Source organism: Homo sapiens, chromosome X (assembly GCF_000001405.40).
Source record: "Homo sapiens chromosome X, GRCh38.p14 Primary Assembly".
Classification (NCBI taxonomy): domain Eukaryota; kingdom Metazoa; phylum Chordata; class Mammalia; order Primates; family Hominidae; genus Homo; species Homo sapiens.
Window position 1 is genome coordinate 155,210,106 of NC_000023.11, and position 17,062 is coordinate 155,227,167.

At 42.1% G+C, this 17,062-nt stretch overlaps 1 protein-coding gene across 4 annotated transcripts in view, besides 4 other annotated features; it reads left to right on the top strand.

Annotated features, from left to right (window-relative positions):
- VBP1 (VHL binding protein 1) overlaps positions 1 to 17,062 on the top strand; it is a 42,835-nt gene that overhangs the window by 13,099 nt on the left and 12,674 nt on the right. The window contains exons 1-2 of one of the 4 annotated variants that reach the window (NM_001303543.1): positions 6,168 to 6,470; positions 10,078 to 10,202. In NM_001303543.1, the coding sequence (NP_001290472.1) occupies positions 6,270 to 6,470; positions 10,078 to 10,202 (326 nt within the window). In that variant the 5' untranslated portion in view covers positions 6,168 to 6,269. Of the gene's footprint in view, positions 1 to 6,167; positions 6,471 to 10,077; positions 10,203 to 17,062 lie in introns of those variants that run through there. The other 3 variants (NM_001303545.1, NM_003372.7, NM_001303544.1) reach the window with 3 other exon arrangements.
- Positions 6,008 to 6,796: an enhancer, noted in NCBI's record as "H3K27ac hESC enhancer chrX:154444390-154445178 (GRCh37/hg19 assembly coordinates)". NCBI's record gives its function as "activates a minimal SCP1, AML or CMV promoter by ChIP-STARR-seq in naive H9 embryonic stem cells {active_cell/tissue: H9 hESC(naive)}" and the evidence as "EXISTENCE:reporter gene assay evidence [ECO:0000049][PMID:30033119]".
- Positions 6,107 to 6,401: an enhancer, noted in NCBI's record as "tiled region #7862; HepG2 Activating non-DNase unmatched - State 1:Tss, and K562 Activating DNase unmatched - State 1:Tss". NCBI's record gives its function as "activates a minimal TATA promoter and a strong SV40 promoter by Sharpr-MPRA in HepG2 and K562 cells {active_cell/tissue: HepG2 | K562}" and the evidence as "EXISTENCE:reporter gene assay evidence [ECO:0000049][PMID:27701403]".
- Positions 6,399 to 6,478: an enhancer, noted in NCBI's record as "active region_30077". NCBI's record gives its function as "activates an Ori minimal core promoter by ATAC-STARR-seq in GM12878 lymphoblastoid cells {active_cell/tissue: GM12878}" and the evidence as "EXISTENCE:reporter gene assay evidence [ECO:0000049][PMID:35858748]".
- Positions 6,649 to 6,738: a silencer, noted in NCBI's record as "silent region_21123". NCBI's record gives its function as "represses an Ori minimal core promoter by ATAC-STARR-seq in GM12878 lymphoblastoid cells {active_cell/tissue: GM12878}" and the evidence as "EXISTENCE:reporter gene assay evidence [ECO:0000049][PMID:35858748]".

The following is a 17,062-nucleotide window of genomic DNA, read 5'->3' on the forward strand; positions in this document are numbered from 1 at the left end:
CCACTCTAGTCTTCCAACCACACCCCTTCCCTAACAAGTTCCTAAAAGCACGTGTGTCAGCCCGGTGCAGTGGCCCAAGCTTGTAATCCCAGCACTTTGGGAGGTTGAGGTGGCAGGAGGATGACTTGAAGCCAGGAGTTTGGACCAGCCTGGGCAACATTGCGAGGCCCCATCTCTACAAAATTACAAAATAAAGAAATTAGCTGGATATAGTGGCATGCACCCATACTCCTAGCCACTCGGGAGGCTGAGGCAAGAGGACTGCTTGAGCCCAGGAGTTTGAGGCTGCAGTGAGCTATGATTGCACCATTGCACTCCAGCCTGGGTGACAGAGAGAGACCCTGTCTCTAAAAAAAAGCACATATGCCATGTGTCATACAGGCGCAGTTCTGGGCCCTCTGAGTGCCCTCAGTAGCCACAGTACAAGCCTTACTTCATACCAGGTGTTCTTCAGTTGTTTGGCCCCTTTAGGGACTGCTACAGATCTAGTCATGACTCTCATCTAATCCAGAGCCAGGTCCCTAGGTAAAATCTCAGGACTTCATCCCCTGAAGACTGCCATGGAGTGACAATTCGCTTCCTTCCTGTCCTCATAGCAAGGCTGATGGCATCATTTTGCTGAAATTGATTTCCTGAGCAGACTCTCCAGACTCCCAGCATGTAATTGCTGTAGCTGCTCTCTAAGTAACAGCAAGAGCAATGGTTGCCTATGATTCCTTGTCTTGGGCAGGGAGTGTGATCCCTGAGTAACTAACATAAACTCACCTTGCCATGGGAAATTTCATCAAGTATTCTGGTCTCTGCTGGCTTGGCTTTCTTGAAACTGTAATGTGCCCACACACCGTTATTTTTGAGCCATCATCTGTATCACAAATAAACAGAGACTACAATATGTGAAAGGTGATGAATTTTCTAGAGATTAGCAATTCCAAAATCCTCTTTAGGAAGAGGAAATGGAGGCCCTAAGAGAGATGACTTCCAAGGTTTCTTGGCTCCAAATCCAGAATTTTTTCCAATGTGTAGGCAAAAGCAGGTCTTCCATGCAAGATGGAGTCCCACTACACTTAGTGTCTCTGGCACTTAGCATTAACTGTCTTGCCCAGCTAGGTGGTTTTTCATGTGAGTGTCTTAGTTTCTTAACTAGATTTATTATCTCCAGTTATACACTGCATCGGATTCTTCTAGTGTAATTTATCTTCACTACCTCAATGTTGAGCACATTGTACATGCTCCACAAACATTTGTTGCTTGATTCACACAGTCAATAAATAATGATCAAGCAATAAATATTGATCAACTTGATCAATAAATAATGATCAGTTATCAAGCTCAGTGTGAGGCCCAGAGAAGCAAAGGCAAGAGAAACAAGTCCATACCCTTAAGTATTTATAGGCTGATAGAGGCACTCGTCTCAGCTTCTCCTTTTCTTTGGTACTGACATCAGACATTTTAGAGTCAAGTTGAAAAGAGTTGGTCGTATTTTTGGGCTTTCATATTTCAAGGCATTTCAACATATCCACAAATAGCAGGCCCAGTGAGCTGTGCAATATCATGGGGCTCCAATGTTTTAGGAGTTAGTCCTGAGCCAGACTGAATGCTCTCTCTTATCTGTATATGTGAAGAATAGCCCTTCTTCCTCCCCAGGAGGCTGTGAGGGATTTAAAACAGATGTCTATCTGAGGGACCCTGCAGATCTCCCATGCTATGAGCAGGCTGTGTGATTTCTCCCCATCATGAGGCCATTATCATGACATGTTATGGCTCATGTCTCAAACCCTTGAGTTTCTTATTCTGTGCCATATCCATGCCTTTCAATTATCAGGACAGTAGCTGAAATTTATTGAGGGCTTACTAGGTACTGGGCACAGTATCAAGTATGTTATTATGTGTAATTCCATTCAATCTACTTAATAATATGTGCCCAAAGCCCTATTATTATGGTTATTTTACAATGGAGAAAACTGAGACAGTGTTAAAGTAACTAACCTAATATCCCATAGCCAATAAATAATCAAGCTTGACTGCAAAGTGCATGCTCTTAGCCTTAACCATTGTGCTGGAAATGCACCATCTCTCCCAATTATTATACAGGAAAACTTGTGACTGGGAATTTACCATGGCTTATACTGAAGGTCTTCATGTATCCTAAGGAGTCCGGCCCAAAGGAGATTCAGGAACATGAAAGCAGAGTTTGAACCTTTTTACATCCATGCTTTTTATTGGGTTTGGTTGGAAAGGAAGAGCTTGGGTGGACATGGGGGCAGAGGGATTTGGAGGGTGTAATTACTCACCTTGGGGCCCAAGATCAGGTTTTCTAAATTGAGAATTGCATAGTTACAGAAGGAACCCGGAGGATCCAGTGGGATCTAGTGACAACCATGGGATGCAGAATTAGTACTAGTGCCCTGATGACTCACCAGAGGTCGTAGTCAAAATGTATTAGCACTAGAAGTGAGTCTGGAGATCCTCTAGTCCAAAGCTCACATTTCACATGTGAGGACACTGAGCTAGATAGGTGAAGACACTTGTCTAATGAGGCACAGCCTGTTAAATGACAGGGTTAAACTAGAACCCAAGTTCTAGGGCCTATTACACAGTGGCAAGCCTAGAAATGGATTCTGGAAATAAAGCAGGGTAATGTCTGGGAGTCCCCAGGGCCATCATTCTGGCAGATGAGGTGGTGGGGTGGGGGTTGCAGAAGGGTTAGTTCCCTGAACAAAGGACCTCTCCACATCACCTTGGATAAATAACATCAGTCCCAGGAAAAAGGAAATCACATTGCCACATTTTACCTTGTCTAGGAAAATCCTACCTTGTCCTCTCTTGTATAAACAGAGCAAAAACACTGAAGATACAATAACAATACACAGTGAGAACACTACCAGCACACTCAACAACCCAGGGTAGTGAGTATGGAGGCCCATTGGCATGTCTGGAAATAGAATACACATGTATTCTGACTTACTAGGAAATAGCCCCAAGAGGCTGGGGTGGCTTAGCATGCAGGAGCACTATCACAGTTGAGTGCCCTCCAGGGGAGTTCCAAAGCCCCTAGGGGAAACTGCACTTTCTGCTCTCAGAAGTCAGGATTAGAAACTGAATCAGAAGGTCGAGCAGAGGCTGTCTCAGAACATCCTGAAATGCTTGGCATCTCTCTGAAGGCCTTGGGCTCTTTCCCAGTGGGCTTCCTGGGAGGAAATGACCCCAGTGACCAGGCTCAGGAAAAAGGAGACACATTCCCCCAGCCTCAGGATTTGCAGCTCTTCAGAGTAATTTCAGAGGCTTGTGGAGATTGGGACAGAACCTGTTACCTGCACAAAGCTTCCAGGCAAAGATGGAGTGAGAGTTGTTGTCGGTTCCCGGCTGTACAAATTTAAGTCAACTCTTGGTTATCTGGGTTCTGGAAGTTGCTAAGGATATCACCCTCTTCTTCCAGGGGACTCCAATTGTATGTCACATCATTTTCTTCCTTCTCTGCAGAGCACATTAGTGTGACATTTACAGGTACTATTCACTGAAGTCATTAAACTCTGGCTTCCCAAAATATGAGCCAGTGGTGCACCAGAGCTGGCTTGTACCAGCTTGTGAGAACCAATTGTTAAATTTCTAGAAATTCTGCAAGATGGTTGTTAAACACAGCCATCATTTAAAATTAAATTATAAAAATTTACAATTAAATTCTTTTAAAGGCAAAGGTAATAAATATTCAAAATTTATCACCTTCTAATTATTTTTCGACATTTGAATGTTACCTATGCTCTTGAGGTTATTTACATCGATTGTATCTGTGTGCTACTGGGCATGTCCTCCCAACTCGACATGGATTGAAATCAGCCATTGTGGGAGTATCCAGGCTACAGAAATTGGTAGATGCTACAAACTACGGCTTGATCTATGTTTGTCACTCTAGACTTGAAAGCAATGGAGAAAATGTTACTAATGCAGATTCAGCTTAAAAGTGAGTTGTGTCTGTAGCCATTATTGTGAACAGCACCATAAAATGAGGCAATATTTTTCTGGTATTTGAAAACCATTATCCAATTCAGCAAATAAATCACTCACATTGTTGATGAATGATCCAAGTACCAATATAAAAATAATTGTTGAATTACTTTTTTCTTATTACTTAACATAAATGAAAATATCAAGCAACATTCATGTCAGAACTACACTAGTTCATCAATTGCAACTGTAGGTTGTCTAGGGAGATATGTATTTGGCAAAAATCAAAAGCATCCTGTCAGAATTGGTTATACAGAATTAACGATAAAGAGTATTGTATATTTTATTATCACTTATGAAATTGTGTGCTATACACCTTTTACATCAATACAATTTATAATAAATATATACCCCCTTTCTAAAGAGAATTAGTTGAACATTTATCAGCACAACACTACGTGAAATGATTGTTTAAGTTGTTCTGTTTCCTGTTGTATGCGTATTTTCTTTACATTTTGTTTTGTTTTGTTTCAAAAGTGTCCATGGTGAAAAACTACAACCTTTTAAAGTCTGTTTTAAAAAATGCTTTTATTAAAGCAATCTAAAGATAAGCTGTAAAAGGTGTGGGCTACTGAAGGGTTGCTAAAGACCAATCATATTTAGTCAGGTAATAGCTAGATTTGGATCTGGCAAGAGGAAGGTTTTTTTTTTTTTCTTTTCCTTTTTTTTTTTGCTAAGAGATAAGAAAATGACCACCTATAGAGTTGATAAGGTTAGTGTACTCTTGGAAAAGCTGCTGCAGCCATGGCAGGAAGGAAAGAATTGGTATACAACTTTCTAATTAAGAGAACACTAGAAAGGAAATATATTCAGCAGTATAAATAAGGGAATCTTCTGTTTGTACCTGTAAGGGAGTAAAACATGAGCGATAAGCTGATAAGGCTTTTGGCTCCAAAAGAAAAACCTGGCCCGAAGTGTCAAATACTATATCTCTTAGAGGGATTTATTCCAAATTAAAATTAGTGATAATTTGGAGAAATATTTCCTAAAGTTTGAAGTAAGTCCTTGATTGGTTCTAACAATGATTAATATAGATAGGGATCAGTGAAGTTGAACAAAATTTGCATGTGTATCTGATATCTCAATGTTTTTCTGTAGAAACGTTACCTACTTTTCAAAAACAAAATTTTTTTTTGGAAGGCACTGAGGTGGGGGAGAGTGGTGAAGAATAGAATTCCCATATACTTTTCTCTCCAGGAACAGAGACATTATCTTACAAAACTGCTGACCAGAAAAGGTCAGAGTCATGGTTAGCTAACATGTCTTCATCCTCCCAAGCCAAATCGCATAGAAGCCACTGGAGAACTAGTTTGGAATTCCGGCTTCACTACTATGTAGTTGTAGGATTTTGGAGGAGCTGTACAGGTTCACTGAGCTTTAGTTTCCTCATTCACAATATGACGATACCAATTTCTTCCTCATATTATATCTAAAGACATATCTATGTCTATATGCTTGATCGTACATTATGTGCGGAGATAAACCGGTAACAGTGATTGCCTCTGAGAAGAGAGACTTACTTTCCATTGCGTAATTCTTAGGCTCATGGTAGAATTTGTGCAAGTGGATGAAGCACTGCCTCACTGGGAAACACTCCAGTGAAATAAAGCACAGAAAAGAGCCCGAAGAATAATTACTTGGTTCTGTATGACACATGTGCTTTTAAAGGGTTGTAGTGTAGGATGACATTGGGTAAGTCCATGGGCCTAGAAGCCTAGGTGGAGTTCTTAGGATTTTGTATGTAGACTATGAAGTTTTGGAAACGTTTGAGCTGGAGAGAAGACATTCTGATCAAAGGTGGCTTTCAGGAAAGGCTGGTGCGACAGGCAGGGTATTTATTAGAATGAGGCCAGTGACCACTCTGAAACAGACACAAAGTAAGTTCCCTTCAAGGGGCAGGAAGCTCCCTGGGATGGTGAGACCAGAAAGGCACAGAGGCTGAACCCTCGTGATGGCGCTAGGTCCCAGGTTCGCTAGCATCCGAGAGAGGGGATTGGGTCGCTCCAGAGGCCATTGCGAAGGCTGCTGCCAGTTCTAGGGTCGGGGTGGGGTCAGGCTAGGTCCCTATTCCTAGGGCTTTAGCACCGCTCACTCACAAGACCCCTTTTCCCAGGAGGACGTATGGGTTTTTCCTGTCGCTCCAGCTTCTCTTTCGCGGCCCTTCCACGCTTGTCACTTACCTGAGCGCAGCCAATCAGCACCTAGAGGTTGGGCTACTTTCGGCCAAAGGAGAACGGGGACTTGTGGGGGACGCTCCCTGCGCACCAATGAATGTGCATGGAGATGGAGAGGCGGGCCTGCAAGTGCGAACAAGCCAATCACGGAATCCCGGCGGCCGGCGGCCCGGGAGGCAGTCGCGCGCTCGCATCCCCAAGATGGCGGCCGTTAAGGACAGTTGTGGCAAAGGAGAAATGGCCACAGGGAATGGGCGGCGGCTCCACCTGGGGATTCCTGAGGCCGTGTTTGTGGTAAGAGGCACGCTGTTCCCTGGCATCTTGGCTTGAGGCCTTGGACTGCCCCTTTCTTCCCGGCTCCCACCCAGGCCTCGACTGTTGGAAGGAGCTGAGCCAAGTGTTCAGGGAGGGGGCGCTCGGTCTGCTCTCACCCCTCGCACCTGGACAGATTGAGCTCTGCTGGGGGCCCGCCCGGAAGAAACGTAGCTCGAGAAGGCCGTAGAAGAGAACGGGGTGCGGGGCCGGGACGAGGGGCGAGGGGCGAGGGGCGGCGGGTGGCAGGGCAGGGCGGCCTGAGGGACCTCCGGGCTGCCGCCGGTTTTCGTCCCCCTGCTGGTTGGAAAAGGGGAGGTGGTGAGGAGCTCTCGACTCAGCATGGATGCTGGAGACACAGTACAATGAATAGGCAGAACAGCCAGTGCTAAGATGTGAAAACCGGGAATATCACTTTGTCTGTTGAAGGAATGCAGTGGTCTCGGGAATGTTGCCTCGGGAAATGGAAGAAGAGACCGATGGGAAAATAGGATGATAGGTTGGGAGTGTAAAGTCCTTCTGTGTCTTGCTAAGGAATTGAGGTTTTCCAGTAGGCAACGGGCTGTCATCAGAAGGCCTTTCGTTTTAACTACATCATTCTAACAACTTAGTGGAGAATGAATTGTTGAGAGAGGAGGCTGAACCCTCCTGATGGCGCTAGGTCCCAGGTTCGCTAGTGTCCTAGAGGGGATCGGGTTGCTCCACAGGCCGTTCTGGAGGGCGCTGCCTGTGCTGGGTGGCTTTTTAAAAATTTTATTTTATTTATTTAATTTAGAAATAGTAGTTGAAAACTATTTGACTAATGAGAGAAAACATCTGACTGGCCCTCCAGGCCAGGTCATCTGTCTGTCCCCACTTAGCTACTATAAAATCTTCATGGAAGTTTCTCAATCTTTTGGTTTGTACCTTACCTTACCTCTGCCTTTTTTTTACTAACTACGTCTTATATCCTTCTAAAGACTCATTTATTTATACCACACTTGATATTGTATATTCGCATTTGCTGATTGAATTTCGTAATTGGTTATTATTTTGTGTTTTTATGAGCTGTGTCATTTATTTCTCTACATTGATCTATTATCTAACCATAACAAGGAATAAAATTTGTTGAGTGCCAGGCACTTTCTTAATGATTTTACAAAACTCGAGGTGGTAGCTACTACTGTTATGCCCGTTTTTTAGATGATAAAACTGAGGTACGGGGCACTTGAGTAACTTGCCCCAGGCCACACAGGATGTAAGTGAGGTATCCAGGGTTTGAACTTGGACAATCCGTGGAGGTCCAGACTGGCAGCTTACCCCTCATGCTCTGCTACTGGGAGGAGGTGAGGTAGTTCTCATGAATCGCCCTACTTCTCCTGGTCATAGCATAGTGCCTCACACATAGTATAAGCTCAAACTAAGTGTCTAATTGAATTTCCATAGGGCCTTAAATGTTACATTCATGGTGCTCAGCTAGAGATGGCGTCAGAAATCTAACTCGGGAGGAGACACTTTATCTGAGGGCTTTATAATGTCTTGAAATGCTTTTTCCCTACAATGTCGTGGTTATTTTTTTCTAGACCTTAAAATTTCTACCAACATAATGTAATAAGCAACCCAAATTTTATATAACTGTTTATGTTTCCAAACTATTAATAATTGAAGTGACATGGTATTGTAGAAAGATTATTGGCCTCTAAATAGACCAGGGTCTGAATCCTGGCTCTGCTTCCCAGTTGCTGCTTAACCTTAAGCATATTATTTTACCACTTTGAGCTTGAGTTTCTTTAACTGAAATAGGGATGACAATACTTAGAGAGTTGTTATGGGAAACAGAGAACATGCTTGCAGTATTGCAGTGTAGTAGGTGTCGAATAGGTATTAATATTCATGATGATAGGAAGCAATATACCATAGTGGTTAGAAGTCAGACCCAGTCCATTCCCCAACCCCGCTGAGGCAGTAATTTGTTTTCTTTCTCTGCTTGAATTGTTGTTTCACCCTTGTCCATTTCATGACCTCTTCATCTTTCCACATCTAGTTCAGATATCATCTCCCTGTAGTTTTCTCTGACCTCTACCCCAAAACAAAATCCCTGGCACTTTGTGTCCCTGTGGCACATTATGCTATACATAGGTGTCACGTACTCTTATAAGCGTTTCACATATGCTAACTCATTTAATCCCTGGTGACGAAAAGGTACTTGTACAGATGATGAGGAAATTGAGGCAAAGAGAGGTTAAATAACTTCCCTAAGGTCAACTCATCTAATGAGTGGCGAAGCTGGGATTCAAACCAGGCACCTCCTGTCTCTTAACCACAGCCTATGCCGCTATAGTTAATTCTTGCTAAACTCCAGCACCTGATAACATGTATCATGTGCCAGAAACTTACACTTCTTTCTCTTCCCTGCAGTGACCCTTCTAGGAAGATGGCATCTCTCTTTAACATACAGAACTCAGCCATTATCTCTCAGCCTCACCTTTTCAATTTCCTTTACTGTCTAGTTTGATGGCTTCTTAGTTCACTCCCTTGCTGTGTTTCTCTTCCTTTTTCTTCCTTGTTTCAGCTAAGATATTCTCTGGTAGCTAGTAAATATGGATAAGAATAATGATGTGAAGATCTTAGAAGCTATAAGATAATTGAAGTTACTTATAATAAAGAACTAGAGTTCTGTAAAGTACTAGACGACTCTTGTAGCATCTCTTTTAAGTTTCATATATTTTCATCTTGTTTCTGATCCTTATCTAATTAACTAGCCTTTCTTCAAGGATCAGCATGTGGTATAAAAAATATTTTAACATCAGTTTTACTGCTTTTCTTTTGATCAGTTATTACTGTTACAAAAGATTATTCTGTTTGCCTTTTAGGTTTACTTTGTTTCAGTTATTTGATACTGAAGGAAGCATTTGTGGATTGCCTTGGGAACCCAGTAACCATATTTAGTATGATTTCTATGGTAAAACTTGTTGAATTAAAAATAAGTAATAAAATTGATAATCTTGACATGCAACCTGTAAAATCATTTTGTGAATAGGATGCATGAATAGGCAATGTATTTGATTGTTAGTTTCATATTTACTACTAGGGATGCATGGGAAATGCATAAAGTGGTGGGCAAGGTCATTCTTCTTTTCCTATTTTTGAATAAAAAATGAAGAGGAAAGTGAAAGAATAAATTAGCTATATAATATATATGTACCATCTGAAATTGTCTCTAACTTTTTATAACTACAGGTTGAGCATCCTAAATCTGAAAATCTGAAATCCAGAATGCTCTAAAATCCAAAACTTTTTGAACACCAATATAGTGCTCAAAGGAAATGCTCATTGGAGCATTTTGGACTTTGGATTTTTGGATTGAGGATGCTCAACTGGTATAATGTAAATATTCCAAAATCTAAAAAAAAAAAAAAAATCTAAAATCCAAAACAATTCTGGTCCCAAGCATTTTAGATAAGGGTGCTTAACCTGTACTTTTAGTTAAAAACAAACCTTTGGAGAAAAACAAAGCTTTTTTTTCTTCTATGTTTTAAAAACAAAGCAGTCAAAAAATCTGAGTGGCATGAATTCTAAAATTTGTAAAGTATTATTTTTGATATTAAAGGAAGATGTAGATTCCTTCATGAAACAGCCTGGGAATGAGACTGCAGATACAGTATTAAAGAAGCTGGATGAACAGTACCAGAAGTATAAGTTTATGGAACTCAACCTTGCTCAAAAGAAAAGAAGGTAAGTGTAAAAATTTCTAAGTTTTGAAAATCTTATATGACTTGAACTTTTAAAAAATTGAGATATAATTTACATATAATAAAATATTCAGATGTCAAGTGTTCAGTCCTCCAAGGTGGCTGTACCATATGAAATTCCCACCAGCAACGTACAAGAGTTCCAGTTGTTCCGTATCCTTGCCAACACTTGGTATTGCCAGTCTAAATGTGGTTTTGAAAACATAATAGAATGGTTGTTAAAGACTGTATTCCAAAGCTTTCAAAATCATAACGTCTTATATGTCTAGTTCATCCTTCTAATTTTGCCAGTGAGATTAGAGACCCACAGAGTCTGGGCATAAGACTTAATTAGTTATGAAATCCCAAGATTTCATAACTAATAGGCATAGGAAAAAAGCTATCCTTACTCTCAACTCTTTATTTCCCTACATTATTTTATATAGCTTATAAAGTCAATTCACTGTAATAAATATTTATAGATCTCTGTTTTGTGCATGTGCCAGCATTCTTCTGTAAGATAAATATTTATGGAATGCCAGCTAGATGCCACATACTGTTTTGGGTGAAATAACATCCAGTATCTGCTTTCAACAAGGACACAGGACTGGGCATGGTGGCTCAAACCTGTAATTCCAGCACTTTGGGAGGCTGAGGTGGGAGGATCACTTCAGTCCAGGAGTTCAAGACTAGCCTGGGCAACATAGGGAGACCCCCGTCTCTACAAATAATTAAAAAATAATTAGGCTGGGCCCGGCGGCTCGCACCTGTAATCCCAGCACTTTGGGAGGCTGAGGTGGGCAGATTGCCTGAGCTCAGGAGTTTGAAACCACCCTGGGCAACATGGTGAAACCCCGTCTCTACTAAAATACAAATAAATTAGCCAGACGTGGTGGCATGCGCTTGTAATCCCAGCTACTCGGGAGGCTGAGTTGGGAGAATTGCTTGAGCCCGGGAGGCGAAGGTTGTAGTGAGCCGAGATTGTGCCACTGCACTCCAGCCTGGGCAACAGAGTGAGACTCCATCTCAAAAATAATAATAGTAATAATTAGCTGGGTATGGTGGCATGCATCTGTGGTCACAGCTCCTCTAGAGGCTGAGGTGGGAGGATCGCCTGAACCCAGGACGTTGAGGCTGCAGTGAGATGTGATCATGCCCCTGCACTCCAGCCTCGGCAAAAGTGCGAGACCCAGTCTAAAAAGCAAACAAACCACACAAAAAACTAGGGACACAGTTTGGTGGAAATTATAGGTATATAAATAAAATTAGCACACAAAGTAGAACAGTAGAGGTACAGGGGGATGGTAACTCATTACTTTGTACCAAAGCACCTCATTAACCTGGAGGGGCCAAGGAGGTTCAGAGGAAGCTTCTAAGAGGAACAGATAGCTGTGTAGAATTTCAAAGATTAGTTGTGAGTTTGGAGGCAGACTAAAGTGAGGAAGGGGTAGTCTGGGCCTAAGGCACCATTTATGCAAAGGTACAGAAGTTTGTAGGTATATTTTCTCATTTGATTTTGGTGACAGTTGTACAAAGTTGAATATGTACTGAGTATTAGATGAGATGAAAAGTCATTGACATGGAAAGATGGAGAGTGTTAATGGACAGAAGCAAGATAGAAAACATTAAGAACAGTGTGCTCTCGTTTTGGAAAAAAATGTATGTATGCACAGGAATATCTGGAGAAATCCACACTAAAGGCATATTAACAGTGGTAATCTCTGGGTAGTTAGAATATGGCATTTTTCTTGTTTTTGCTTAGCTGTTTTCTTAATTTTTTACAATGTACATGTACTGCTTTTGTGATAGTAAAAGTTTATTTGAAAAAGAAAAATAAAGCCATTGGATTTGAGATCACCTACAGGGAGGTTACAGATAGAGAAGAAAATGTGCCTTGGGGCGGGGTGCAGTGGTTCATGCCTGTAATCCCAGCACTTTGGGAGGCCAAGGTGGGCGGATCGCTTGAGCCCAGGAGTTCAAGACCAGTGTGGGCAACGTGGCAAAACCCTATATCTACAAAAATTAGCTAGGTGTTGTGGTGCATGCCTGTAGTTCCAGCTACTAGGGAAGCTGAGGTGAGAGTATTGCTTAAGCCAGGGAGGTTGAGGCTGCAGTCAGCTGTGAGTGTGCCACTGCACTCCAGCCTGGGCAACAGAGTGATGATACCCCGTCTCAAGAAAGAAAAAAAGGAAAAGAAAATGGGCCTTGGGACCAAGTCCTGGGAGAGGGGGAAATTTGCGTATCAAACTTAAATTGCTCTTCTAACTAGTAAATTAATGATAGACAAAAACAAAAAAAAGAAAAAAGTTATATTGCTAACTCTACAACTGTGGTATGTAGCAGGATACTCACTCTAGCTTAACATATGGTCTAGGCCTAAATGTGGGGAGAAGGGGTAAAAATTCAAAGCACTTAGGAAACATCAGTGAACGTTGGTGTTCTGGATGAGAACAGTGTTTGTCTAGTGTTTTAAAAGAGAATGGTAGAGTTGGAGATAGTGAGTTAGGAAAATTTTCTTGAGTTTTACCTATTTTAATAGTGGGTTGGTCATTTTTTTGAGACAGGCTTTCTCTCTGTTGCCCAGGCCAGAGTGCGGTGGTGTGATCACAGCTCACTGCAGCCTTGACCTCCTGGGTTCAAGCAATTCTTCCATCTCAGCCTCCCAAGTAGTTGGAGGGCTACTTTTCTCTTTTTATTTTTCTGGAATTTCTCTCACTCCTATGATGTCAGCTATGCAACAAAACTATTTTTGTGTCATGATCTAGTTGTTTTGCAGCAGATGGCTCTATGTAGTTTACATGCTAGCCTTTTTGTTTTTTTTTTTTTTCAATTTGCTATTATTTTATTTAGGATTTTTGAATTTCTGTTCATAAGTGAGTTCAGCCTATTTCTTTCTTTTTTTAATTTTTTTAGTATTGATCATTCTTGGGTGTTTCTCGGAGAGGGGGATTTGGCAGGGTCATAGGACAATAGTGGAGGGAAGGTCAGCAGGTAAACATGTGAACAAAGGTCTCTGGTTTTCCTAGGCAGAGGGCCCTGCCGCCTTCCGCAGTGTTTGTGTCCCTGGGTACTTGAGATTAGGGAGTGGTGATGACTCTTAACGAGCATGCTGCCTTCAAGCATGTGTTTAACAAAGCACATCTTGCACCGCCCTTAATCCATTTAACCCTGAGTGGACACAGCACATGTTTCAGAGAGCACGGGGTTGGGGGTAAGGTTATAGATTAACAGCATCCCAAGGCAGAAGAATTTTTCCTAGTACAGAACAAAATGGAGTCTCCCATGTCCACCTCTTTCCACACAGACACAGCAACAATCTGATCTCTCCTTCCTTTCCCCACATTTCCCCCTTCTCTATTCGACAAAACCTCCATCGTCATCATGGCCCGTTCTCAACGAGCTGTTGGGTACACCTCCCAGACGGGGTGGCGGCCGGGCAGAGGGGCTCCTCACTTCCCAGACGGGGCGGCCGGGCAGAGGCACCCCCCCACCTCCCGGACGGGGCGGCTGGCCGGGCGGGGGCTGCCCCCCACCTGCCGGACGGGGCGGCTGCCAGGCGGAGGGGCTCCTCACTTCTCAGATGGGGCGGCTGCCGGGCGGAGGGGCTCCTCACCTCTCAGACGGGGTGGCTGGTCAGAGACGCTCCTCACCTCCCAGACGGGGTGGCGGCGGGGCAGAGGTGCTCTTCACATCTCAGACGGGGTGGCTGGGCAGAGGCGCTCCCCACATCTCAGAGGATGGGCGGCCGGGCAGAGACGCTCCTCACTTCCTAGACGGGATGACGGCCTGGAAGAGGCGCTCCTCACTTCCCAGAGTGGGCGGCCGGGCAGAGGGGCTCCTCACATCCCAGACGATGGGCGGCCAGGCAGAGACGCTCCTCACTTCCCAGATGGGGTGGCGGCCGGGCAGAGGCTGCAATCTCGGCACTTTGGGAGGCCAAGGCAGGCGGCTGGGAGGTGGAGGTTGTAGCGAGCCGAGATCACGCCACTGCACTCCAGCCTGGGCACCATTGAGCACTGAGTGAGCGAGACTCCGTCTGCAATCCCGGCACCTCGGGAGGCCGAGGCTGGCAGATCACTCGCGGTCAGGAGCTGGAGACCAGCCCGGCCAACACAGCGAAACCCTGTCTCCACCAAAAAAATACGAAAACCAGTCAGGCGTGGTGGCGCGTGCCTGCAATCCCAGGCACTCGGCAGGCTGAGGCAGGAGAATCAGTCAGGGAGGTTGCAGTGAGTCGAGATGGCGGCAGTACAGTCCAGCCTCGGCTCGGCATCAGAGGGAGACCATGCAAAGAGGGCGAGGGCGAGGGTGAGGGTGAGGCTAGCCTTTTTCTTTGTATGTGTTGTAAATCTTGCAGCCTGTCATTTAACTTTACCCTTCAAGCTGTGTAAAAGTTCCTTAGTATTTCATGTGTTAATCTCTTTTTCGACACTTGAATCTGAGATCTTTTATCTTTCTTTAATTGGAAATTTTGTGATTATCACTTTTTCTATCGTCTGTTAATTTTTTTTCCTCTTTCTTTCTGGGATTCCTGTTTACAGATGTTGACACTTCTAATTCTGCCTTCCATTTATTTATATTATTTCCCTTTTTTCTGTCTTTGTCATTTATCTTTTGGCAATTAGATGGATAGCCATGAGTTCTTTGTTTCAGCTGTTAAGATTTTTATAGCTGGTAGTTCTGGTTGGTTCCTCTTCATATTACCAATATCCTTTCTTTTCTCTTTGTGGTATCTTTAAGTATTTAATGTATAGTTTTATCTTTTGGTATTTGTTAATTTTGTTTCATATGGTAGAGGTTGTTGAATTTATTGTCTTTATTTATTATAATGATCAAATTATAATGTCTTTTCCCTGTCAGCTTAGATTCCCTCAGGGATATCAGCTACTTTGGCCAGTAATGTACGTGGAGGTGGGGGTAATTTAAGTCACTCCTGGTGGGTAGCAGTGGCGCTACCTCGGCTCACTGCAACCTCCACCTCCTGGATTCAAGGGATCCTCCCGCCTCAACTTCCCAAGTAGCTGGGATTACAAGCATGCACCACCACGCCCAGCTAATTTTTTTGTATTTTTTTTTAGTAGAGACTGAGTTTCACCATGCTGGCCAGGCCGGTCTCGAACTCCTGGCCTCAGGTGATCCACCCGCTTCGGCCTCCCAAAGTGCTGGGATTACAGGCGTGAATCACTGTGCCCAGCCAAGCTACTTTCTCTTCAGGTGAAGCAGGGTAGGGAGGAGTGTATTGCTTGGGCATGTGCTGTGTCATTGGTGGTCTGGTTCCTAAGTTAGCTAGGGCTGCATCTGATTGATTCATTAATATGCTTTATAGCATATTACATATAATATTTATATATACAGAATGCATCTTAAAAGTCATTTACATGACAAAAAATCTTGATCTGAACATACTCCTTATGTTGTGTGTGTATCACATATTTTACAAATGTATAACATCTTTCTGTTTACCTATATGAACATATCATGCAAAAATAAGCAAACTTGAGCAATCTATGGCATCCAGATTGAATTGTAGTGAAAAAATGAATGCTAGGTGTTTCTAGATTATTCACTGGACTGTATTATCAAATGATGACACTATGTTTTTTTCTTAAGCAGCAGGCTCATTTAACACATTTCTTGCCAGGTCAGTAGCACAGGGTGTAGTAAATTTGCCCTGCCAACCTGCTGCACACATGGAGTGACTTCTTTTATGTGACGCAATAAGTTCATTTTCATTGTTGTGTTTATATTTTGTTTACATTTTGGTCTCTAATAATATTTAGTAAATTTACCTCGAAAGAACCAGAGCTTCGTTTTTATATCCTTAGTCTGTTTTGCTAGAAATTACATTTGACAGAGACCCTAGAACTGTTTTGCATATATCTCCATGCAAAACACATGCATCTAATTACCATAAAGAGCTAAACCCCAGTGACAAAAACGGTATCATTGTTTTCTCTCTTTAATTGACTGAATGTTTTTAGCATACTGTTTTTCTCTTATGTTCTTGTCAGTGAGGTTGATTGCATTTGGGAGTCACTTACTAGCATTTTGCTAGTAGCTATCATATAACTTATCCATTAAGTCGGATCAGTTGTATCATGTCCATCATTGTTTTTTTAAATTTCTTGTGTTTAAATCAGTGATCCATTTATAATTTTAAGAACGATCGTTACCTCATTTGAAAAGAAGAGCATTTATCAACATAAAAGTTAAGGAAGAAATACCCAAAGCTTAAAAGAATCACTAAATTATACTGTATCATAATGTGGTGTGTTTGGCATTCAGATGATTCTGTACATTTTTCACAGTGTGACAAGTGCACATACTGAGAAGGTGTCACTGTGCTTTGCCTGGCATTTAGCTGACTGTGATGTACATGTGTGTATACCCAATGCACACACCAGGAGTAGCTATGTGCATCACTGGATAGGGGATTGGTGTCTTCTATTTTAGAATGTAACTTTTGAATCCATGTTATTTTTAAAATTAGTTTTAAAATTAATCTATTTAAAATTTCATTCTAATCAAATGCAGAACCTATGAATCACCTCTGTGGAATATAGTCTGCTCTAGAAATGTTAAATAGCCATGGGGTATTTGACATAATAGAACAGAGCTTTGTCTTCATGGAATGGGCATTCCATAAACATTCACTAGTATATCTTAAATATTTTTATTAAGTATTTATACTTTAAATATTTTATGAATATTTTACTAAATATATTTTCTTTTGGTGAATATTTCTTTAAATATTTTATTTTTATAAATATTTATATCTTATTTTATCTCATATCTAAAAATATCTTAAGTATTTTATATCTATAAATAGTCCTCAAGAACACATTAGTAGAAAATGCAAAGTTA